The 26941-nt window shown below is 41.7% G+C and overlaps 1 protein-coding gene and 1 non-coding gene across 3 annotated transcripts in view; both read right to left on the bottom strand.

The window, feature by feature from the left end:
- TCEANC2 (transcription elongation factor A N-terminal and central domain containing 2) overlaps positions 1-26941 on the bottom strand; it is a 58913-nt gene that overhangs the window by 31710 nt on the left and 262 nt on the right. The window contains exons 2-3 of one of the 2 annotated variants that reach the window (NM_153035.3): positions 26287-26430; positions 11914-12055 (exon numbers count right to left, since the gene is read on the bottom strand). In NM_153035.3, coding sequence (NP_694580.1) covers positions 11914-12055; positions 26287-26388 — 244 coding nt within the window. In that variant the 5' untranslated portion in view covers positions 26389-26430. The remainder of the gene's footprint in view (positions 1-11913; positions 12056-26286; positions 26431-26941) is intronic. The other variant, NR_130900.2, reaches the window with a different exon arrangement.
- On the bottom strand, positions 26657-26732 carry MIR4781 (microRNA 4781). The gene has a single exon (NR_039942.1). It is a non-coding gene; the product is annotated as a microRNA 4781 (primary transcript).

Below are 26941 nucleotides of genomic sequence, written 5' to 3'. Positions count from 1 at the left end.
TCCCTGGGTTTAAGGTTAGGGGATTTCTGCATCCCAGCACACTGTTAAGACAAATTCCCTGCAGGAAGCAGTCTTTTGCTCATTTACCAAACATTACCAAATACTCATAGGCATTGGGATAGAATGTTGAGCAAGACAAGACCCGGAAAATCCAGACTAATCTGTATTCAAGGAGCTCTAGGAAAGTCAGGGGACAACACCTAAACAAACAAATGCACACAAAAAGGTGTTATACGGGTCCTAAGATAGTATTGAAGGGGGAACCCCAAGGAGGGCCAAAAGGGCAGAGGAGTCAATTCAGCTGGTAAAGGGGTCAGGGAACACCATGAAAGAGGCAATGCTTATCCTGGTCTTAATAATAACTCAGCCAGGCGCAGTGGCTCACGCCTGTAATCCCAGCACTTATTAGGAGGCTGAGGTGGGGAGATCACATGAGGCCAGGAGTTCGACAACAGCCTGGTCAACATGGTGAAACCCCATATCTATTAAAAATACAAAAATTAGCTGGGCATGGTGGTGCACGCCTGTAATCCCAGCTAATCGGGAGGCTGAGGCACGAGAATCGCCTGAACCCAGGAGTCGGAGGTTTCAGTGCGCCAAGATCGCACCACCGGACTCCAGCCTGTCTGACAGAGTGAGACTGTCTCAAAAAAAAAAAAAAAAAGAAAGAAAATTGGAGACCCCTGGTAATGAGCATCTCTCCATAGTCCCTGCATCACCTCACTCAGGAGCCTTCTTGCAGAGCCCTGAGAATGAAAAGCATCACACTCAGACAATGCTAATTTAGTTGGTGACTAAACTCCCAGTTCAAAGGCAACAAGGGCTGGATGCGCTGGCACTTCTGTCAGATTTTTTGAAGGGCTTTTGCAAAACAAAAATAATAATAATAACGATAACTCAAGGAGACAGGAATAACACAAGAAGTAGAGTGAACAAGAGCACAGAAGCCTGAAACACATAGCATAATTTGAGGAGTATGGTATATGGTAGACACAACAATGGTCCCCAATAATGACTATGCCCTAATCCTCAGAATCTGTGACTACGTTACCTTACATGGCAAAAGAGACTATAGATGTGATTAAGGTTAAGTACCCTGAGATGGAGAAATTAGCCTGGCTTTTCCAAGTGGGCCCAATCTAGTCACATGAGTCCTTAAAAGTGAAGAAGAGGCAGAAAGATGGGTCAGAGATGAGATGTGAGAAGAATTCAACCTACCATTGCAAGTTTTGAAGATGGAGGAAGGAGATCACAAGCCAAGGAATGCAGGTGGCCTCTAGAAACTAGAAAAGGCAACTAGTCTAGGAAACAGATTGTCCCCTAGAGCCTCCAGAAAGGAATGCAGTCCTATCATCATTTTGATTTTAGCCTTTTATTCATTTTTAGGTTTCAGGAGATGGCATAACATGGTATAAGAACATTTTAGCTTTGTCATTTATTATTTGGTTGTCTAACCTGGGGCAAGTTACTTTAAACTCTCCAAGCCTCAGTTTTTCCATTTGTAAAATGGAAAAAAATTACACTTACTTTCCAGAGCTGTTATATAGATCAAACAAGGTCATAGATGTGAAAGTACTTTGTAAGAAGAGGGGTTTTGTTGTTGTTGTTAAACAATCATAAACAAAAATACAGCATCTCTGAAATCAGATATGATTGACAAAACTTTTCCCAGAATATTCATATATATAGTGTTGCAAAAATGGAGCATGCCTGCTCACCAGGTTAAGAATACAAGGCCTAACTCCACTGCCTGATCAGCTATTTACTCGATACCCCATGCTCTTTGGTTTCCTTGATAATAAAGGTATCCACTCACAGAGGCCTTATCACTGCCAGCTCCAAAGGCGTTTTGCTAGTTGGCCCTCAACTTCCCAGACCACTTGAGGACACTCATTTCCCCTGCCTCTAAGAACAGTCTTTGGCCTGCATGTCCATGTACCGCCCTGACTCTCGTCCTGTCTAACCACACTTCCTTAGTCTCTTTATCTGGCTCCTCTTCTTCCTCCCACTTCCCCAGCATAGATTTTCTCCCAGGTTCAGTTCTTCAGCCCCTTCATCTTTCCTTTTACTTAGAGAATTCATCTACTAAGGTGATTGCAAGCAAACACTTCCTGGCAGATGACTTCCAAATAAGTATTTCCAGTCTAAATTTTGCATCTGAGCTTGAATCCCACATCTCCAACCTCCTGCTGGACATTTCCACTTAATGGGTTTATGTAAGAACAAAACTCTAGGGACATTAACTCAAATGCAAATACTGAGAGAAAATTCCCATTTGAGGTATACAAGAAAAGGCACTAAATTCTGATTTAAAAGAGTTAAATTCAAGCAGATGGTAGAACCCATAGAGACAGTCCAATAAAATAAAGGGACATATGGCTGGGGTCCAGGGCACAATGGCATCCTGCTAACCAGGAAGGAACACTGCTCCAGGAGACCTGGGTTCTCATTACATCTCTGGTGCTAACTTACTAGGTGGCCCTGGATAAGTCACTTCATCTCTCTGGGTCTCAGTTTCCCTGTTTATAAACTGAAGTAGGTAAATGGATTTAAAAGGGTTATGACACTGACATTTACAGAGCTCATAGAAATATATAAGAAAAATTATAAGATCTCAGCAGTAAATGTACAAAGAACATGAACAGACAGTTTACAAAAAAAAGAAAAAGTGCCAAAAAAATGCATGGAAAACAATTCATTCTATGCAGCACATGAAAACAAGATGCTATTTTTACCTCTTAAATTTGTAAGATTTAAGAAAATGGTAGGAATGTAAATTGGAACAACCTTTCTAAAAATCTAAGATTCAAAAATGGATCAGGATAGGAGATGCATATCCAAGAGGTATCTGAATTAAGGCCTCAGTTAAGCTGGAGACATGGACAAGCTCTCCAGCTAATCTAAAGAAGCAGCAAAAGACTAAGGGCTGAGCTTTATGGAAAAGCACCCTGTTAGGGGAGAGAGGACAAGGACTGAAGAAACACAGAAAGGAAAGAAACAAGGACACAGAAGGCGAGAAGAGCCATAGAGAAAACTTGTTCAACGTTGTCATTTTCACTCATTTGAAGACTATATTCCTGAGCTCCTGCTGTATGCCACTAATGCTTGAAATACAGTGGTAAATAAAATGTAACTTCTGCTGGCACAGAGTTACTGCCTAGCAAATAAAAAAATAAAGAAGTAAATAATTAAATAGGTGATTACAAACTGAGATAAGGGCTATGAAGGTAACAAACAGTTTAAAAATAGATACAGAACTGGCAACCAGTTCAGTGTCATTTATGTCAACAGAAAGGGAGTATCAATGGTCTCAAATTCACAGTCTGGGAAGATGAGAACTGAGACAAGACCATTGGATTTGGATAGTATGAAATTACTTGTGTCCTGAGAGAATAGTGGTTGTGGGAGAAGACAGCTTGGAATGCTTTTCCCAAAGGATTGGGCAGGCCAGAAATGGGAGTTGCGAGTAGCCAACATTTTTAAAGGAATCTGGCTATAAAAAGAGAGAAATAAGGTGTTTGGAAAAGGTGGCAAAGACAATTAAAGGGGAAGATTTGTGCTTGTCTGAAAGCAGAAAGAGCGAGCCAGTGGAGAGGATAAGGGTGGCAACATAGCGAGAGGCATCATCAGGGCATCCCCATTTTCCCTCACCTCTATGGTCAATCCTTGCTAAATCCAGCCTGTTCTCCCTGATAAGGTTTCTCTAAGGAGCTATTTCATTTCTCCATTCTCTCAGTCCTCCAAGTCTTCATCGTGTCTCACCTCAATGTTTACAGCCATACCTCATCCTCATGGCTCACTTCCTCACCTTCAAGTTTCTGCTCAAATGTCATCTCTCAATGAGGCCTACTCCAGCCCAGACCATCCACGTTCCCCATCCCCCTTAACTTGCTTGACTTTTTCTCTTGCACAGTAGTTATCATCTTCTAACATAACTACACAATTTGTTTATTATGTTTCTTCTTTATTGCCTGTCTCCTCACTAGAATGTAAGCTTCACAAGGATAGGAATTTTTGTCTTGTTTTAATCACATGTATCCAGAACACTGCCTGGCACATGAATGAATATCTGAATGACCTCCTATCTGATCTCCTGATTTCTACCTGTTCTTTCTCTATAACACCCTTTTCCTATGCATTTTTCTCTTGGTCACCAGAAACGCTCATCATGTCATCCTATAGCTACCATTAAATGGTTCCAGTAACAGCTGTTTCTAAAGCTCATAGGTTGCTAAGAAGATACCCACCTTCACTGAAGTGCTATTCAGAATAGCAAAGACATGGAATCAATTGAAATGCCCATCAATGACAGACTAGATAAAGAAAATGTGGCACAGATACACCATGGAATACTATGTAGGCATAAAAAAGCACAAGATCATGTCCTTTGTGGGAACATGGATGGAGCTGAAGGCCATTATCCTTAGCAAACTAACGCAGGAACAGAAAACCAAATACTGCATGTTTCACTTATAAGTGGGAGCTAAATGATGAGAACTCATGAACACAAAAAAGGGAACAGACACTGAGGCACTGAGGTCTACTTGAGGGTGGAGGGTGGAAGAAGGGTAATGAGCAGAAAACACAACTATTGGGTACTAGGTTTAATACCTGGGTAACGAAATAATATGTACAACAAGCCCTCATGACACAGGGAGTTTACCTATATAACAAACCTTCACATGTACCCCTAAACCTAAAATAAAAGTTAAAAATCAAACAAAAAAATACTCATAAAATAAAATAAAACACGTTTCTTCTTCTTCTTCTTTTTTTTTTTTTGGAGACAAGTTCTTGCTCTGTTGCCCAAGCTGGAGTGCGGTGGCATGATCTTGGCTCATTGCAACCTCTGCCTCCTGGGTTCTCCTGCCTCAGCTTCCCGGGTTCTCCTGCCTCAGCCTCCCGAGTAGCTAGGACTACAGGCACGCACAACCACACCCAGCTAATTTTTATATTTTTAGTAAAGACAAGGTTTCACCATGTTGGCCAGGCTGGTCCCAGACTCCTGACCTCAAGTGATTCACTTGCCTGCGCCTCCCAAAGTGCTGGGATTAGAGGTGTGAGCCACCGTGCCTGGCCAAACAGGCTTCTTTATTGTAGGATTTCATCTAGCCTATTAAATGACAAAGTATACTGAAAACCTCTAAAGGAGAGGAAATAGTAATGTGGCATTTTCCAAGCTTTATTTGAACCCAGGACACTTTCTTCAAATAACATCTCACTGGACCACAGTTCTAAGAAATCCACACTTGAAAACAATGGCATCTGGGAAAAGTCCATACCCTAATGGCTAGCTTTTAAGTTTCTTTATAATCAGGCCCAATCACTATCCACCCTTGCCCATTCTAGCCATGCATATTACATTCTAGCATGTTTTCAGGATTTTCAAGCCTCCATTCCTTTACTCATGTCTCTGCCTGCAAGGAGCCAGATCTCATTTTGACCTAGCAAAGTCCCATCTCTTCTATAAAAACCCTTCTCCACTTGCCTAAGCAAAAGTATTCACCGTCTCCCCTGTATTCCCACAGACCTTTGTACATCCCTTGATTTTAGCATTTTCACGTCAATCATTATTATACACCTGAATGCCTATTTCTCCAGAGAATGTGGGCGCCTTACAAACATGAACCATGCATTATTCTGTAGCACCCAGCATAAGGCATAGGACAAGGAAGGTACTCAGTATGTGTTGAATGAATGAATGAATATAGATTCTATAAAACACAGATCAAATGATGATCCAAGGCTCTTGCTAATCCTCATCTTGGTAATCAATCTTAACAATTTAAGGGGCTCACCCTGTTATTATTCTCCTACACTAACTTCTCTCACTCTACAGAATCTTTGCCATTAGCATTCAACATGTTAGGATCCTTTTCCATCTTAAAAAACAGAACTTTCTTCAATACCACATTCCCTTTCTGATATTGTCACCTCTCTTTTCTTTCAATACCAAACTTCTTGAAAGAGTTGTCTATTTTGTTTCATTTTCATACATCTTCTTCACTCCTCAAGCTTCTGCCCCTAACCTTACTTTTGAAACGGTCCTAAGTAAGATCATTAATGACTTCATTTTGCAAAATCCAATGTGCAATTTTTAGATGTATCTTATTTGGCCCTTTGACAAGAATGGACAAAGCTAACCAATCCCCTCCTAGAAACATTCTTTCCTTTGCATTCCATGACAGCATTCTTTTGTTTTCTTTCTGCTTCTCTGGTCGTACCTTCTCGGTTTCTTCTATAAGTCCTTAAATACTGGTGTGTTTCTGGATTTTAGACTCAGCTCTTGGGTCTTCTTAACTTATAAACTCATCCTAGGCAAGCTTATCTACTATATTTTTTTTTTTTGAGACGGAGTCTCGGTCTGTTGCCCAGGCTGGAGTGCAGGGGCATGATCTCGGCTCACTGCAAGCTCTGCCCCCCGGGTTCACGCCATTCTCCTGCCTCAGCCTCCTGAGTAGCTGGGACTACAGGCGTCCGCCACCATGCCCAGCTAATTGTTTGTATTTTTAGTAGAGAGGGGGTTTCACTGTGTTAGCCAAGATGGTGTTGATCTCCTGACCTCGTGATCCACCCGCCTCGGCCTCCCAAAGTGCTGAGATTACAGGCCTGAGCCACTGCGCCCGGCAGCTTATCTACTATTATCACACCATTTCCCAGCTCTATGCTGATAATGACTCCCCAGTATATAGTTACAATCTTTCCTTAGCTTCACTCTTGTATTTCTAGCATTCTGTTGGACATTTCTTTTGGGATGTTCCACAGAATAAGTCTAAAATGGAACTTATTATTCCCTCCACCTCCAAACCTGCTGTTCCCTATCTTAATGAGTGGTACTGCCATCCACCTACTTGCCCATATCAGAAACCTAGCCCTCAGCCTTCACTGCTTCATCTTCATTCCCAACATCCAATCAATCTACAAGTCCTTTGGATTTATTACATGTATGTCTCTTGATTCCAACTACAATTTCTTCATCCCCATGATTGATACTCCATCCAGGCCACTCTCATTTCTTATGCAGATGTTTTAGTAGCTTCCTAACTGAGCTTCCAGCCTCTAGGTTTGCTTTTGTCCAACACTTTTCCCACATGGCAACCAGACAGATTTTTCTAAACTGAATATGTCATTCCTCCATTCAAAAGTCTTCAATAATAATCCTACTATCTTTAAGATAAAGAGCAAACTCTCAAGCTTTATGGCGGACTAAAGCTACTCTTTCACTGCAGTATTACTAGATCCTGGATAAAAGCCACCTAACCCCAACAAAAAAGTTAGCAGAGGCTAGAAGGGTGCACTCAGGGAGGGGTGGGGTTATCCTAAGGGCTGATATCAATAGCAATGCTGCTGAAATACTTAGCTGTGGGCCAGTAGCGAGGAGGGGAGCTGGGACTCTCATACTGAGGTAAGATCCTTAAGAGGTGTGCTAAAGTATTCCAGGTCAGAGATGGCCTCTGATTATTGGCAGAAACAAAAGAAGTTAATCCCCTTTGGAGGGAAGCTTCTCAATTTAGCCCCACAGAATTCCTACAGATAGAAATACAGGCTGGGCACAGTGGCTCATGCCTCTCATCCCAGCATTCTGGGAGGCCAAGGCAGGAGGATCACTTGGGTACAGGAGTTCAAGACCATCCTGGGCAACACAGCGAGACCCCTTCTCTACAAAACATTAAACAAATGATCCAGGCATGGTGGCATCTACCTGTAGTCCCAGCTACTCGGAAGGCTGAGGCAGGAGGATCCCTTGAACCCAGGAGTTCAAGGCTGCAGTGAGCTGTGACTGTGCCACTGCACTCCGGCTTGGGAGTCAGAGTGAGACCCTGTCTCAAAAAAAATAAAGTTAAAAGAAAAATAGAAATACAATAATGAGTTTGCAATTAAAAATCAATAAGCACATGGGAAGGCAAGTACCATCAGTCAGCAGAAACAATAAATAACAGATTTAAATCCCCAAGAACCATAAATATTAGAATAGTCAGATGAATACAGAAGAACTAGATATTAAATGTTTAAGAAATAAAAGGCAAAATCACAAGAATGCACCAAAAAAAAATTTATAAAAAACATTTTGGGGCTGGGTGCGGTAGCTCACACCTGTAATCCCAGCACTTTGGGAGGCCAAGGCCGATGGCTCACGCCTGTAATCCCAGCACTTTGGGAGTCTGAGGCAGGCAGATCACGAGGTCAAGAGATCGAGACCATCCTGACCAACATGGTGAAACCCCGTCTCTACTAAAAATACAAAAATTAGCTGGGTGTGGTGGCACGTGCCTGTAGTCCCAGCTACTTGGGAGGCTGAGGCAGGAGAATTGCTGGAACCCAGGAGGCAGAGGTTGTAGTGAGCTGAGATCGCGCCACTGCACTCCAGCCTGGGCGACAGAGCAAGACTCTGTCTCAAAAAGAAAAAAAAAAAAATTTGGGGGGGATAAAGCAAATTTTTAAAAATGAAAAACAGTTATTGAAATAAAGAACAAATGGGCTAAATAGCAGATTAGAGTCAGCTGAAGAGAGAATGAGTGACTTGGAAGATACGTATCTGAAGACATTACCACACAATGCTGAGTCAGACAAGGAGATAAAAAATAGATAAACTAAAGGGTATGAAGAACAGAAGACCTAATATGCTTCTAATTATAGAATCTCAGAAGGAGGCAACAGAAATAACGAAAGAGAGTAACTTTTGAAGAAATAATTGTTGTTGCCAGGCATAGTGGCTCACACATGTAATCCCAGCACTTTGGGAAGCTGAGATGAGAAGACTGCTTGAGCCCAGGAGTTTGAGACCACCCTGGGCAACTTAGCGAGACCCTATCTCTACAAAAAATACAAACATTAGCTGGATGTGTTGGTGCATACCCGCAGTCCTACCTACTTGGGGGGCTGAGGTGGGGGGATCACTTGAGCCCGGGAGGTCAAGGCTGCGGTGAGCTGTGATTGTGCCACTGCACTTCAGCCTGGGTGACACAGAAAGACCCTGTCTCAAAAAAAAAAATAAAAATAAAAGATAATTGCTGTAAATTTTCAAAATGGAACATGAATTTGCAGGTCCAGGAAGTATAATGTATCTAAGATAAATAAAAAGAAATACAGGCTATGGTAGCCAGTCTACAAGTTAGGCTTCAATGATTATCACCTCCTGGTATTCATACCCTTATGTTGCCTTCCAAACTGTATCGGCGTTGGTCTGTGTGACCAATAGCATATGACAAAACTGATGATATATCACTTCTGAGATTAGGTTATAAAAGACCGTGGCTTCCATCTTGGTTGTTCTCTTGTTTTCTTGTTCTTTCCTGGATCACTTGTTCTGGGGAAAGTCAGCTGCCATGTCATGAGCAGCTCCAAGGAGAGGCCCACATGATGAGAAACTGAGGCCTCCTGCCAGCAATCCTGTGAGCCATTTTGGAAGCAGATCCTTAAGCCCTGGTCCAGCCTTCAGATGACTGCAACCCCAGCCAGCAGCTTGACTGCAACCTCATAAGAGACCCTGTGCTAGAACCACCCAGATAAGCTGCTCCTGGATTCTCAACTTAAAAAAATTGTGTGAAAAAATAAATATTGTCTTCAGCAGCTAAATTTTAGAGTAATTTTTACACAGTGATAGATAACTAATACATATGCCAAGACCAAACAGTTCTGAATGGCTTACAAAGAACCTTCTCCATCTGGTCCAGAATGTCTCTCCAGCCTCATTTCTTGCCACGCTCTCTCAAGCACATTACATTTCTAACACGCCAAACTACTTTTAGTTTCTGGAATGCACCATGTTCTCTCCCACCTCCACCTTCTATACAGCTCACGTGATGTGCCCCGGCCTGACACATTCTTCAATACCTTCTGCCCTACTCCTAACACATATAGTCATTTTGCTAACTTCTCCCCATCATCAGAGCACTCATCACATTGTATGATGAAGTCTTGTTAAACTGTGTTTCTATTAGACTTAAGGCTCCAAAAAGGCAGGACAATATCTGTCTCCTTCATTATTATGCCTATATAGTTCCCAACACAGGAAAGGTACTCAGTAAATATTTGTCCCTTATAACCCACAGGATAGGAAAAGGCAGGAAGACTAAAGGTTGAAGAAATGTAAACACTCTCAGGCAATGATCCAAATGAAATCTTCAGCATAGCAACTGATGTAACTATAAAGAAACCAAGAAACTCCTATATTCCATACAACCTCAGGTTTAGGGGAGGCTTGGGATAGAGTCAAAACTCAAAGTTGGATGGTTTCCAGTTCCTCCTAAGTCAAGCCCTGTTGTGGTTTCATTATGATCCTTGAATTGAAATCTCCAAACATCAGAAATACCCATTCTTGAAAGCATACTCACAATTACACTCGAACACCAAATAGAAATTATTTTTTTAATTATAATCTTAAAACCTTCAAATCCGGCCTATTATGTTGATATTTAAGTTATGATCATATATAGTATTTGTGGAATGTGCTTAACTATATACATATACATATGTACACATATACATGTCATAAACTAGTAATCACTAGTACCCTCTACTGGTGGAAATACTTTATCTGCTCATATGAATGGTCTTATTGCCCCCTAGTGATTATAACCTATAAAGACAAAATCCAGCAGCAGATGGGAGAATCTCCTTGGCTACAATGATAGGGTCTTATATTCTTAAAGCATCTGATTTTCTCAGATTCTGGTTTATATTACAGGGGTACAACTCTAAGACTCTTGGGGGGCCCTCTGGGGATTTTGCACAGCTCTTCCCAGCTGTTAGTGCCAGTTCTGAAGCTGCTCTCTCTCCTGCTTCTCATGAACAAGAGGTCAAGGGGAGGCAGACCAAGGCAATGGCTGCACTAGTGAGGGCAAGAACAGCAGCTGTGAATGACTGTCCTGGACTCCCTGGGGAGCTGGGAGCAGCTTGAGTAACACATGTTGGCCCTCCCTTACGTATTATTCACAGTTGTGTACTGTACTAAAATGGCAATTCAACATGGTCCCTGACTTACCTTTTAAATATCTCCAATGCTATAATATCAAGATGTAACTGAAATGTCACCTCTTCTATGAAGCCTTTTCTGAAGTCCCCAGTATATACCTTGTTTAGATTAGAATAGTACTCAGAACACTATTTACACGTTTTTATTTACACCTACAATATTTCACTGTTCCCATTTGTCTATATGCTCGTCTCCTCTACCAAACTCTAAGTTTCTTTTTTTTTTTTTTTTTGAGACAGAGTCTGAGTCGCCCAGGCTGGAGTGCAGTGGCACGATCTTGGCTCACTGCAACCTCTGCCTCCCAGGTTCAAGCAATTCTCATGCCTCAGCCTCCTTAGTAGCTAAGATTACAGGCACGGACCACCATGTCTGGCTAATTTTTGTATTTTTAGTAGAGACGGGGTTTTGCCATGTTGTCCTGGCTGGTCTTGGACTCCTGACCTCAAGTGATCTGCTCACCTAGGCCTCCCCAAGTGTTGGGATTACAGGCATGAGCCACCACACCCAGCCCAAATCCTAAGTTTCTTGAGGTCACAAATCATGTCTTATCCATTTCTGCATACCCAGCATCTAACACACTCAAAATGTTATCCATGTGTTATTGCCAGTTTCCAGTCCATGAAGTAAGTACATAAATTAAATGTAAGCATTTAGAAACTTTCATAGTAATTTGACAAGAGTAATCCTATATCTGTTGAATCTAATTTTAAAAACTGGGGCTTGTATTTTGTATATTTCATTTTTCTGATAATTTTTTTAATATATTACCAAGGTATTGGCCTGCAACCAACAGATAATTTTTTAAACAACAGTCCTTTACCAGAGAGTTGAAAGCATTGATAAGGCAGATAACTTCATGTTTGAAGGAGAGAGGAAGGAAAGAAGAAGGGAGACAAAATATAAGCTTTCTTAAAAAATAAAATTAAGAAGGAATATACCTATCCTTGTTGATTTTAACACTTCCCTGGAGGGTATTTTCTTCTTTAATTCTTGTAAGGCTTCAACAAGATTCTCTTTGGTTTGATCAGGAAGCTCCAGCATAGTTTTCCATCTTTTTATGTCTTCTACAACCACAACTCTCTGGGAAAAAGAAAAGTCATTTGGAAAATGGAACATTTTCATTAGAAAGACATCTGCCTTCACCTGAGCTAATGGGGCTCCTATTGACATATGAATTATTGATTATGACCTGAACCAAAGTACAGTGCATCTGATGGCCCCAAATGATGGGTAATTGCTTAAAAGCAGGTACGGCTTAGTGCAAATCAGGAAGAGAGGTGCATCTATTAGGAAAAGTACAAGTTTTAATTTTACCATCTCAGACACCACTGGGCACTTAGCAGTGAGAGGCAATAAGGATGAGAAGAGAAAAACAATGCTGAGGTGAATCAACTCTATAGCTCACTTAAGAGTGTCTTAATTCATAGGCAAGAACAGCGAGCAGGGAAGTCATAGACATGTTTATGTCAACAATCAAAAGCACACTTCAGTAGTTCCCCACTTCCTAGAGGATAAAATTCAAAACTCTCTCTTGTTCAAATAATTTTTTAAAACTTCAAACACATAGAAAGATACAGAGAGTAACCCACTATTTATAATGGAAAAAATGAACACTTTGCCATTTCACATAAAATAATAAAACATTATAAAGTTTAAGTACCTTTGTACCCTGCATCAACTCATTCCCCTCTTTCCCTTCCTAGAAGAAACTATGTACCATCTTAAAGTTGATATGCATCTTTCCATTAAGTATAAAAAATTAACAGTTAAAGAATCTGGGTAAAGGAGATGGTAAAGTTCTTCACACTGTGTTGCAAACTTTTCTATAGTATTGAAATTATTCCACTAATAATTTTTTAAAAAGTAAAGTGGGAGACTTTTAATTTGCTTTTACAACTACACACAAAAAAATCTCATCTTGGATTGTTATTATCTGAGGGAGGTGGGCACAGTTCGGGAATTGAAGGGGATTCTGGGATTCTGGTAATACTGTTTTTTGATCTGGATGCTGGTGTGTTTATTGTGAAAATTCCTCATATATACTTACAATTTGTGCAGTTTTCTACATGCATTTTCTATATGATAGTTTGATAAAAGCAACAACAAAAAAGTCTTATCTCTCTCCCTTGGCTGGTGTCTGCTTCCAGCCTAGAAGCCTATGGTGGGAGAAGGGTGTTTGATTTCCCTCTCACTCCAACTTTGCTTCTCTTCCTCTCCAATCCACTTGTTTGGTTTGGTTTCTGACCCTTCCAGGTTCAAAGCCAGGAAAAGGAAAAGAGGAAAGGGGAAGGAAAAGCCTTACTTTAACATAGTGATACTATGCTAATCAGGTTTTAGTACTACCTGGACTTGGCAGATGTTGAAAGCTGACTTTCTTTTTCTCGTATAGGTTACTTTTGCAGTTCCTTGGAAAGCTCCCACTGTTGAGTTCCCATACTGTGGGCACTGTCTCCTTCTGCCAGCCATCCACAAGTCCTCCCGCTTCCCCAGTTTTTGGCAACCCACCTCCCACAGGCTCTCCCTATAGGGATCCCAGTGTCCTTCCAAGTATCTTTGTGGACCCATCAATTTTCATTCAACTCCAGGCCACCCAGTATTTTCTCCCACACTTGCCCACATCTTTGTCCTAAAGAATTCGGCGGGTAACAGCCCTCCCAATATACCCACTTCTCCTTTTGACATCAGTCAGCCACTCTCTGTCTTTAGACTTTCCTAGGCAGAGACTGATCTCTGTCCACCAACCCCAGGAACTAAAGTCAAGTTCTCCAAGTGAAAAAATATCGTGGCACTCTTGCTTCATCCAAAGGAATTCTCTCTCCCCTCTTCCTTTAACTTCAACCTACTTTATGGCTTATGGTGGGTGATGGGTTCAGGATCCCAAAACTGGTCTTCAGGTATTGCCTTCTGTATAGATGGTCCAGAATCTCATTGGGAAATATCACTTGATACCTACTGCTTTGTTCTCGGTCTTTAGGGGTATTAGTAAAAACTGAGACAGTCTTTTTCTATGATCTGTTACAATATAAAATGATATTAGTGTTAAACTGTATGAAAAATAAATCAATAAAGCCAAAGGGAAATTTTGAATAGGAAGAAAGTGCAAATATCATGCCTTTTTTACCAATGTATTTTATTGATTTATCCAAACTGAAACATATAATCCCGGTTGGTTGATCTGTTTTAATAATATTGGATAGTATTCCATTATTTTTATACACAAATGTCTTAGAATTTTAAAACTATTCCCCTATTAGGCAGTTTCTTTCCCCATATTTTACATGTTACAAACATTGTTTCAATGAACTCCTGTCTATGACAGTTTTTTGTATATTGTCTTCATCTCTTTACTTTCAACTTCTCTGGGTCATTACACTTTACATAGCCTGTGGCTGCTTTATTTTGCTCCCTGCCTCCTATTCCAATCTGAGAATCTCTATCTTTTAATAGGCATGTTTAATCCATTTGTGTTTATTATGATTACTGATATATTTGAACATATTTTCTCTTCTTTTTTTCTTCTTTCGTATCTTCTTTTTAACAGTTTTCTTTAATCTATTTTTTTCCTTTTTCCTTTTTTTGTTTTTTATAGATGGGGTCTCACTCTGTTGCACAGGCTGGGTGCAGTGGTAACAATCATAGCTCACTGTAGCCTTCAACTCCAGGGCTCAAGCAATCCTCCTGCCAGCTTCCCGAGTAGCTGGGAGTACAGGCGCATGCCACCACGCCTGGCTAATTTTTGTTGTTGTTGTTTCTGAGAAGAAGTCTTGTTCTGTCGCCCAGGCTGGAGTGCAATGGCACAATCTCGGCTCACTGCAACCTCCGCCCCCCTCTCCCCCAACCTGTTCAAGCAATTCTTCTGCTTCAGCTTCCCGAGTAGCTGGGACTGCAGGCATGCATCACCACACCTGGCTAATTTTTGTATTTTTTGTAGACATGGGGTCTCACTCTGTTGCCCAGTCAAACTCCTGGCCTCAACTGATCCCCTCACCTCAGCCTCTGAAAGCACATGGATTACAAGTGTGAGCCACTGTGCCCAGCCCCTTTTTTTTCCCTCTATGGTTTGGAAGTTACTTATTATATTTCTATGATTTGAGTGTTTACCCTTATATATATATATATTTTTGAGACAGAGTCATGCTCTGTTGCCCAGGCTGGAGTGCAGTGGTGAGATCACACTGCAGCCTCGATCTCCTGGGCTCAAGTGGTCCTCCCACCTCAGTCTCCCAAGTAGCTGGGACCACAGGTGGGCCACCACACTCTGCTGATTTTTAAATTTTTTTTGTAGATGTGGGGTCTCACTATGTTGCCCAGGCTGGTCTTGAACTCCTGGGCTCAAGTGATCTTTCTGCCTTGGCCTCCCCAAGTGCTGGGATTACAGGTGTGAGCCACCATGCTCAACCTACCCTTACAATGTTTAAGATGTATACTAACAGAAATTGATACCAGTATTCTCCTCACAAGCCTCTACTTCAGAAACCCCAATTCCATGGCTTCTCTGCCTATCCCTTATGTACTTTTCTCTTTCATATTTCTGTCTCTTCATTTCTGTATGATACATACTAAGTTACTTCTTTAGAAATCCTAAATATTTCTCTTTTTAGCTATGGCTTGCCTATGTTTAACCTGTTTGATGTGTTTCTGCTTCAATAATGATATTTTTTCATTGGACAAGTTCTGTTTTTCTTCTTCTCCAAACTTACCTGTTCTCTTTTCATACTATTCTGTTCTTATCTTATGGTTTCCATTCCTTTATCTCTGTGAACATGAGGTCTGGAGGCAGGGAACCTAAGGCTGATTCGCACTGACTTCCTAGAACTAAATCAAAAGGAAAACCCCAGCCGGGCACAGTGGCTCACACCTGTAATCCCGGCACTATGGGAGGCCAAAGCAGGCGGATCACTTGAGGTCAGGAGTTCGAGACCAGCCTGGCCGACATGGCAAAACCCCATCTCTACTAAAAATACAAAAATTACCTGGGCATGGTGGCACATGTCTGTCATCCCAGCTACTTGGGAGGCTGAGGCACAAGAATCATTTGAACCTGGGAGGTGGAGGGTGCAGTGAGCCGAGATCGCACCACTGCACTCCAGCCTAGGTGACACAGTGAGACTCCGTCCCCCAAAAAAAAAAAAAAAAAAAAAAAGGAAAAATGCACAACCAACAAAACCGGTCGCTTGCCTAGTCTTTATTTGCACAGGGGTGTAATTTTGTAACTTCATTTCAGCCTCCTGGAACCAATCAAACATTTGCATAGGGTGTAACTTTGTAACTTCACTTCAGCCTCTGATTAGTCACCTTCCACAACCAATCATACTGGTTGCAGGCCACTACTTCATTTACTTAGGGTGTAAGCCAAGTAACCAACGGGAAGCCTCTAGAGGGTATTCAAACTATTCAAACCCCAGAAAATTCTGTAACCTGCACTCTTGAGGCTGCTTGAGCCAGCTCACACTCTATGGAGTGTACTTACTTCAGTAAATCTATGCTTTCGTTGCTCCATTTGTTGCTTTACGCATTCTGTCCAATTCTTTGTTCAAAACGCCAAGAACCTGGACACCCTCCACCAATAACAAACATTTTAAACATATTTAAGGTCTCTTTGAGATTGTTTTCTTATCTCTACTTCTTGGAGTAGAAATTCTATTACTTACATCTGTCTGTTCATTCTCTCCCTTGCTAATTTATTTTCTTATAGACTTTGTAATTTCTGACCATTAGTTTATCCTTACAGGGGATTCTGTTCTATGAAAGTCCTCTGCATTCTAGAATATGAAGTGTCTTAATAGAGAAATCTCACATTTGCCTTTGCCAAGATTTGAATTTTCTCAGTTCTAGGCCAGTTTTTATATTAATTTTTTTCAGTTTTGAAAATAGAGTGAATTTAACTACAGCTAGCCTTCTGGATTGGCAGGTTTCACATCTGTGGATTCAACCAACCATAGGTCAAAAGTATTTTTAAAAAAATAGATGGCTGCATCTGTACTGAACACATAGAGACTTTTTTCCTTGTCACTATTCCATTAACAATACAGTATAAAAACTACTTACAAAGCATTTACATTGTATTAGGTATTACAGATTGAGTATCCCTTATCCAAAACGGTTGGGGCCAGAAATGTTTGGGATTTGGGATTTGGGATTTTTCGATATTTGCATTATACGTACTGGTTGAGCATCCCTAATCCAAAAATTCAAAGTCCAAAATGTTCTCATGAGCATTTCCTTTGGGTACCATGTTGGCACTCAAAAGTGTTGGATTTTGTGACATTCTGATTTCAGATTAGGATGCTCAACCTGTATAGTAATCTAGAAATGATTTAGACTATACAAGAAGATCTATATAGAGTATAGGCAAATAGCACACCACTCCATATAACAGACATGAGCATTAGTGGATTTTGGCACCTGTAGTGGGGGTCCTGGAACCAATCCCCTACAGATACTGAGAGATGACTGTACACATATTCATGCATGGTAATAAGAGTGTGGTTCTAATTTATTATTATTGTCCACTCTTTTTCCATCTAAGACCCTGAGAAGGTAACAATCTGCTTCCCTGGACCAGTGGATGGAATTTTTCTAGCTCATTTCTCACAAACATATGGTAGTCCTGTTTCGGCTTCCAGCTTCACATAGGAGATCAATTCTAGCTCCCCACATCACATTAGCCCGAGGTCTTATCTCCCATCCATACTGGCCTTAAAATCCCAGCCCCTAAGCATTATATCTGGATTCAATGTTCCCTGGAACTATTTAGCTTCAGCTCCCATTTACAGCTCTGATTTTGCTTTCCTCTCTCTTCCTGGCACCTAAGGATTTCCCTTTCTTGCTTTCAAGCTCAGCTCTGTATTGGAGACTTTTAATCCAGCATTTCTGCATGGCTGGAATCAGGTTAAGAGTTCCACATCAGATAATATCAACATATGGAACTAAAGAAGTCCAAACTCTTTAGCATGGCATAAAAGGCCTTCCATGACTTGGCTCCTGACATTCTTTTCAGTCTCATCATTTGCTCCAGATACGCCAAACTATTTACAGCTTCCTTTTGAATTTCATACCTTTGCCTGGGATGTTCTTTCTTTACCTCATTTACCTGATAAATACTTATTCATTTTTTAAGACTCTCTTCAAGCATCATGTCTTCTATGAAGCCTTTCTTGCCTCTCCTTTACCACATTTTACCATACTCCACTTTGCGTCCCTCTGCAACTTGTATAGACTCCTATTATTGCATCTATGCTTTCTGCAAATACTTACCATCGACAAGGCTGTCTTTCCCTTAAGGGCTGGAACCATTTCTCATTTATCTCACTATCCCCAGTGCACAGTAGGTGTAACTGAACAAAACTATTTCTACCTTCAAGGACTAAGTACAGTACAGTTTTCAGATATGAAATTTTAGGTCAGGAATAGGAAAAACATCAGTCTATTCAAGAGCAAAAGAATTCCATATATATCAAGAAATGTCTCAATCTCTAACTATGGGCCAGAAAATAGATTGCTCAAATTATTTGGAGGAACAAGAGAAATGGACACAAAATATCAATAAGGACACTACAATGAGGAGTAGAATAGTTATTGCCAGAAAGAAGATGTGCTTTCCAATATACCATCTGGTTTTACAGTTGTGGATTGCTGAAATGTCAGGTTTGACAAAACCAATTAGGGAAAATGATTCACTCATAAGCAGTTACGTGGGCACCATTCCACTGGTGGGGGCAGGAGGCAACATATTGGCTAGTTGATCCTACAAAGGCAGGAAAGGTTCATAGAACCTTCTGAAGTGATGAACCTAAAAGAATGAGTATACTCTAGGACCTTTTAATTTAAAAAATTCTCTTATTGCAACCAACAGAAGAAATCACTTCCTCTTAAGGGAGTAAAAAGAGATTAACCAAATTAACCTTTACCACTTAAATGGACATTACATGAGCTCTATTGAGAATCACTTTTATAGAATGTGATACACCTATGGCAAAATTACTTGTAATATATACTGATAACAGAAGTACAATGGTCCTAATATTCCAAGATTTTTATACCTCTTCAGTTTGGCATTCAGAAACTTCCACTTTTTTTTTTTTCCAGCTCACCCTATCTATAGGGGACAGACTATGAACCCAGATTATCTAGTTCAAATCCCAACTTTGCCACTAATGGCTACATGACTTCAAGCAAGCTACTTAATCTCTCTGTGCCTTAGTTTTTCATCTGTAAAATATAAATGATAAAAGCATACATATCACAAAGCTATTATTAAGATTTAAAGAGTTAATATATGTAAAGCATTAGTTAGCACAATGCCTGGACCATAAAAATGGACTCAATAAATGTTAGTAGTAATCCTTATTACTACTATCATCCTCCTCCTCCTCAGCTTTGGTTTTACTATACAAGCCCCTCCTTTTCCATACATGAAAAGAGGAAACTATTGGTTTTTACTACATACCAGGCACAATGGTTAGCCCTTTCAATATGAATTTATTTATTTCACTCTCATAATAATCATGCAGATGGGGTACTGTTATTTCTGATGTTACTGATGAGGAAACTGAGGCTTAAACATTTAGTAGGTTCTTGGCATTAAAACATAATGCTCATGTTTGGAAGTCACTTGGCAGAAAGTGGACCTAGCTGATTCTAACATTCACATTTAACTCAATTTCTTTTTAATTTGCCATTGTGAACACACCAAGCATCATGCATACATAGAGGAAACAGAAGAGCACATACCACTCATTGAATGGTTATATGTCACTACTTCCCTAGAGTATATCAGACCTAGTCAAATCCTCCTGTCCCTTTATGGTGCCCTGCCACATAGCCTTCTTTGGGCACTAAAACAGGGACTAAGCTCTCTCTTCTCTTACCTCTTTTTTTTTTTGTTTGAGACAGAGTCTCGCTCTGTCACCCAGGCTGGAGTGCAGTGGCATGATCTCGGCTCACTGCAACCTCTGCCTTCCGGGTCCAAGTGATTCTCCTTCCCCAGCCTCCTGTAATCACGAGTAGCTAGGATTACAGGCGCCCACCACCACACCCGGCTAATTTTTGTATTTTTAGTAGAGATGAGGTTTCACCATGTTGGCCAGGCTGGTCTCAAACTCCTGACCTCAGGTGATCTGCCCACCTCAGCCTCCCAAAATGCTGAGATTACAGGTGTGAGCCACCACGCCAGGCCTCTTCTCTTACCTCTTAGCCCTTATTGTCTATATGACAATTCTGTAATGGATCACATATAATTTTTCCTCATTATTTTATTTTATTTTTGAGACAGGGTCTTGCTCTGTTGCCCAGGCTGGAGTACAGTGGTATGATCATAGCTCACTACAGCCTCAACCTCCTGAGCTCAAGCAATCCTCCTACCTCAGCCTCCCTAGTGGCTAGGACCATAGGCGCATGCCACCACGCCCGGCTAATTTTTTTTTTTTTTTGAGATGGAGTCTCGCTCTGTCGCCCAGCTTGGAGCGCAGTGGCGCAATCTCAGCTCACTGCAACCTCCGCCTCCCAGGTTCAAGCAATTCTTCTGCTTCAGCCTCCCAAGCAGCTGGGACTACAGGCGCGCGCGACCACGCCCAGCTAATTTTTTATTTTTAGTAGAGACAGGGTTTCACCATATTGGCCAGGCTGGTCTCAAACTCCTGACCTCATGATCCACCCGCCTCAGCCTCCCAAAGTGCTGGGATTACAGGTGTGAGCCACTGCGCCTGGCTGCTAATTTTTTTTGGTAAAGATGAGGCCTCACCATGTAGCCTCACCATGTAGTTTGGTCTCAAACTCCTGGGCTCAAGTGGTCTTCCTGTCTTGGCCTTCCAAGTGCTGGGATTATAGGCATGAGCCACCACACCTGGCTTCATTATTTATTAACTTCTTATAATTTGATCACTTTTCAGGAAGTTTCATGAGGGTTTGTATTTTGATCTTAAGTTTCTCTCATGTTCTCTATAGTACTTAGCATTGTGCTGGGCATAAGCTGTTTCACAACATTTGTAGAATACTTTACTATCAAAACCCTACAACGGCATGCCAGAATACAGATGATTACTGTTTATTCAATACATTTTACCTACAGTGTAGCAGGCACTGTGTTAGGTTTTGGAGCAGATCAGAACATAATAAGATATTACAGTCCCGGGTCTCAGGAATTCATAGTGGATTGGAGAAAGCTACAGGTAATCAGACAATTACAATACAGTAAAGTAAATGCTTCCACAGATATTTGAACCAAACGTTGAGAGTACTAATGAGGGAAGGATTAACTCCCTTAGAGAACCCAGAAAGCATTTCAACATTCATTTATTTGACAAATATTTATTGACCACTTAATATGTGTCAGGCACTGTGCTACGTCCAAGGGCAGAGAAGTAAATAAAATACTCAAGATCCTGACAGAGTGTGGTGGCTTACGCCTGTAATCCCAGCACTTTGGGAGGCCAAGGCAGGTGGATCACCTGAGGTCAAGAGTTCAAGGCCAGGGTGGCCAAATGGTGAAACTCCATCTCTACTAAAAATACAAAAATTAGTTCGGTGTGGTGGCAGGCACCTGTAATCCCAGCTACTTGGGAGGCTGAGGCAGGAGAATCGCTTGAACTCAGGAGGCAGAGGCTGCAGTAAGCTGAGATCATGCCACTGCACTCTAGCCTGGGTGATAGAGCAAGACTCTGAGTTGAAAAAAAAAAAAAAAAAGAAAACTCAAGGTCCTGTACTCATGGAGTTTATAATCTAAGATTTATAGGCAAAGTAGTTCTTGAGTGGGTTGACAAATGGGTAGAAATTGACTCTGTAAAAAGAAACAGAAGGGCTTTCAAGGAAAAGGGACAAGCATCAAGTTCAAGGAAGCCCTGAAGGCATGGAAGGGAAGAGCTTATACAAAGAACAGCAAGAGGCTGGGCACAGTGGCTCACGCCTGTAATCCTAGCACTTTGGGAGGCCGAGGCGGGAGGATCACGAGGTCAGGAGTTCAAGACCAGCCTGGCCAAAATAGTGAAACCCCGTCTCTACTAAAAATACAAAAATTAGCTGGGCATGGTGGCGTGTGCCTGTAGTCTTAGCTACTTGGGAGGCTGAGGCAGGAGAATCGCTTCAACCCAGGAGGTGGAGGTTGCAGTGAGCCAAAATCTCGCCACTGCACTCCAGCTTGGGCAACAGAGTGAGACTTCATGTCAAACAAACAAGCAAACAAACAAAGAACAGCAAGAAATAAGGTGTGGCTGGAATGCGTACATATAAAGCAGGGGCTACAAGGTATGAGACGATAAGCGCACTGGGGTAGAACAGGTCTCACGTGCCATGCCAAGCCTTTTATTTTACTTCATTTGGTCATTCAGAAAAATGTACTGCAGCCTACTATAGGCCAAGTCCTGTGCCAGGAACCAGTGACACAAAATCAATGAGACATAGTCTTTCAAGAAGCTCAGAGTATAGCGGGGCACAGGCATGTAAAGAAACAACCATGATACAGCACAAATAAGTGCAATGATACAGACATGTTTAATATACAGGGATGGCTCAGAGAAGGGAGTGATTAGATTGGCTCTGCGTCTCAGGGACAAAAGGGTGGTCAGGAAGGGCCCAATAGTAGAGGATTTGAACTAGGTCATGGGAGATGAATAGGATTTTATAAAGTAATGATAATAACAATAATAGCAAAGACTTACAAAGTACTTAGTATTGGCCAGACTCTGTACCAAACACTTTACATATGTTGACTCACTCAAATTTCATAATACCTTATAAAACAGGTATTATTAATCCCCATTTTATAGATTAAGATGGACACAGAGAGGCTAAATAACTTGACCAAGGTCACGAAGGTAGTAAGTAGCAGAGCTGGGATTTTAGTAAGGCAGTCTGGCTCCAGAGTCTATGTTCTTAATTATTGCATTATATTGCCTCCAAGACAAGATAGTAAGGGAATTCCAGGCAAACAGGACAGTATATGCAAAGGCACAGAGGAAGGAAAGAGCACAACATCTTTGGGGAATTGTGAATGGTTGACATTGGATGAGGCATAAATAAAAAGACTAGCAGGGGATGAGGCAGGCAGGCGCCAGGTCATGGAAGGCCTTGGGTGTCATGTAAAAAACTGTGATCTTTATTGATGGGTAATGAGAAATTATTGAAGGATTAGGCAGGAAAGTGACCTGAGTAGATTTTCTTTTCTATTTGAGACATATTTCTCTGGTGTAAGAGTGGAAGGGAGGTGAATGCGGGATGTCAAAGGCAGGGAGACAAGTCAACAGACCATAGCACTGCTCTAGATGAGAAGTATGATTCTGAACTTAAAGTGGAAGACAATCAAGTGAGTATGGGCAAGAAGGATTTTTAGGAAGTAAAACTAAAAATTGGGGCCAGGCGTAGTGGCTCATGCCTGTAATCCCAGCACTTCAGGAGGCCAAGGAGGGCAGATAGCTTGAGCCCAGAAGTTCAAGACCAGACTGGACAACATGATGAAATCCTGTCTCTACAAAAAAAAAAAAAAAAAAAAAAAATTAGCCAGGTGTGGTGGCATGTGCCTATAGTCCCAGCTATGATGTGATCATAGTCCCATGATCACATCACTGCATTCCAGCCTGGGTGACAGAGCGAGACCCTAAAAAAAAAAAAAAAACAAAGAAAAAAGAAAATTGGATATGAGAAAAAAGAGTTAAGGATGGTTCCTAGATTTCTAGTCCCAGTTACTTGGTATACGGATATACATTAATACAGGAGAACAAGGAAGAGGTTTGGAAGAAAAGCTAATGCATTTAAGGGGAATGTTATTAAATATGCCTTTTGTTTTATTCTTTTTTTTTTTTTAAATGGTGTCTCACTTTGTCACCCAGGTTGCAGTGCAGTGGTACCATCCTGGCTCACTGCAACCTCCAGCTCCCAGGTTCAAGCAATCCTCCCAGCTCAGCCTCCCAAGTAGCTGTGACTACAGGCGCTCCCCACCATACCCAGCTAACTTTTGTATTTTTTGTAGAGATGGGGTTTTGCCAAGCTGCCCAGGCTGATCTCGGACTCCTGGGCTCAGGTGATCCATCTGCCTTGGCCTCCCAATGTGCTAGGATTACAGGCATGAGCCACTGAGTCCAGCCTGTTGTTTTATTCTTATTCCATAATTTTCACATCATTTATTTTCATCATCACACATAGTGATTTTCAACTAGGGCACGAGCAGGAACCCAGAGGGGAGAGCGGTAGGAGGAGGTATATTAGAATATGGGTGTTTGGGCCAGGTGCCGTGGCTCACGCCTGTAATCCCAGCACTTTGGGAGGCCGAGGTGGGCAGATCATGAGGTCAGGAGTTCGAGACCAGCCTGGCCAACATAGTGAAACCCCATCTCTACTAAAAATACAAAAAATTAGCCAGGCGTGGTGGCGGGCACCTGTAATCCCCACCACTCGGGAGGCTGAGGCAGGAGACTCGCATGAACCAGGGAGGCAGAGGTTGCAGGGAGGCAGAGGTTGCAGTGAGCCAAGATCCCACCATTGCCCTCCAGCCGGGGCGACAGTGCAAAACTCCGTCTCAAAAAAAAAGAAAAGAAAAGAAAAGAAAAGAATATGGGTGTTTGTAGGTGTAGGTGAGTGTATATGTAGTTCAACTATTCCTTCCCACCTTTTTCCTGGAGAGAGTCTGACATGATCCCTCATTGAGAATCATTGCTATGTACAATTATCCATGAATATTCTGACAAGGTAGAGACAGTTGAAAACCTTGAATGTGTTCTATGCAGTCACAGAACTGCAAGACTAGGACAGACTTTAAAGATCATCTAGAGTTTGGTAGGGCTCAATCAAGTGCTGTCTGGAAAAATGAGAAGGCATTTTCAGTTATCAGAATGGGAGGTGCCATTGGCATTAAGTGCCTGAGAGCCAGGGATGCTAAGTATCCTGTAAACCACCAGCAGCTCCAAATAATGAAGAATTATCTTGCCCCATACAACAATAGCACCCCTTGAAGAAACACTGATATAGTTCAATCTCCACGTTTTATAGATGAGGAAACTGAGGTCTTAGAGAAGGGACTGACTTGCTACTAAAGATCACCCAGTTACCAGTAAGGCCTGTTTATACTCTCCTTCACTGCTTTCCAATATGGGTCTCCTAAGCCTGTGGGACATCCAGAAAAGGAGTCCAATTGAGTATATGTCAAGTACTCAGAATGCTGCCTTGCTCTTACAATCCTTTGCACATTTTCTCTAGCCCCAGATCCTCCTCCCACCTTCTGAAACCTAGGCTGGAGGTGCAGGTTTGGCAGTTTTAGCACAGAAAGCCTAAAGAATGGATAATGTCATCCTGGCCAAATACATAAAATGTGACAGAACTCTGAGGAGAACAAACATTAGGAACCTAGTGGAGGAAGAAGAATTGGTAAAAGAAAATGAAAAAGTCAGAAATTTAAGAGGCAAGGTTCAGGATGACAAAGGGGACTAAGTACAAGTTGTTTTGTTTTGTTTTAGTAAAATAATTACTTTAGCATTTATTGGGTAACTATGTTGATTGATACATTGTATCTACTCTTTGCATCTTGCTTGCAGACATCAGACTGACTTCAATGTAGCAAGAGCTCATTAAAACAGCCTCTTTCCAGCTGGGCACAGTGGCTCATGCCTGTAATCTCAGCACTTTGGGAGACAAGAGGCGGGTGGATCATTTTGAGGTCAGGAGTTCAAGACCAGCCTGGCCAACATGGTGAAACCCCATCTCTACTAAAAACAAAAAATAGCCAGGCATCTGTAATCCCAGCTACTTGGGAGGCTGAGGCAGGAGGATCATATGAAGCCGGGAGGTGGAGGTTGCAGTGAGTCAAGATCGTGCCACTGTACTGCAGTCTGGGTGACAGAGTGAGACCCTGTCTGAAAAACAAAAACAACAACAACGACAACAAAAAAACAGCCTCTTTCCCAGTCTCAGCTGAAGCTGTAAAGCTGTTTGATACAGTTCTGGGCAGTGTGACAGATGTGAGAGAACAGCATCAAAGCCCACCCCTTAATAAGTTTGTACAGGGTAGGTATATAGAATCATATTTGGTACTTTAACATTCCTAACAGACTACATTTTGCAAAAGAATAACAACGAAGGGGACTTGTCCTACGAGCTAGCACACATGGTGTAAACCGGAGTAATTACAAGGGTGTAGCAGGGGTGTGCAGAAATTTATAAATGTAAGTCTGTACAGCTATGGGCGAAACAAAGGAGGAGTGGTCAGGTACACTTTGAGGAGGAGGCATAACAAGAAATAATTCATAGGTCTTTCCACAACAGAACCTCTAGCACCACCTTGCTATCAGTCCTTTGCACATTTCCTCTAGCCCCAGATCCCCTCTCACCTTCAGAGATTCAATCGTGGCCTGCTTGTAAACCTTTCCTCCAGAATCTTTCTTCTGAGGGCTATTCTGGATTCTAGGCGTTCGAATGACGAATTTATCCATTGTTAGGGGACTCCGACTACCTTGACGTGCTTGCAGCGTGTTCTGGTCAAGAAAGAGGGCAGATTCTAAAACCCCACTAAAGACTGCCATGATATTTTTTCCCCAAAGTAACACAATTGAGTTCTCTGGAAGAATTCATGAATTATGGGGCCTCGAGTGGAATTGACAGGAAGTAAGATTTTCTCTTTAAAAGAAAGATCTTCCGAAGAATTGAAACTGTAATCAATCATCAGTCTACGTCCTGAGTTAGGAGGTTCCTAGCTTCCAGAAGTGCACGCTCTAGCGAGGATTCCAACATTGGGGGAATTGGCCCAATATTGGAATCCCCGCTAGAGCGTGCACCTAAGCCCTCTTCCAAATAAGATTGGGCTGTGAAAGGGTTAGGATTACATTAGGCTCAGTGACGCCCTCTTAACAACCACCTCACCACAGCCATAATCCCAAGGGTTGCCCTGGTAATCAGCAACCGACAACCACCTCCAGAACTCAGCAGAGGGTCTCACAATACGCAGCATCCCCTAGAACAAACTGCTCGGTGGTCAGAGGACCCTAC

This window comes from Homo sapiens, chromosome 1 (assembly GCF_000001405.40).
Source record: "Homo sapiens chromosome 1, GRCh38.p14 Primary Assembly".
Classification (NCBI taxonomy): domain Eukaryota; kingdom Metazoa; phylum Chordata; class Mammalia; order Primates; family Hominidae; genus Homo; species Homo sapiens.
Note: the sequence above shows the minus strand (reverse complement) of the source record. Positions and strands in the feature narration are given on the sequence as shown.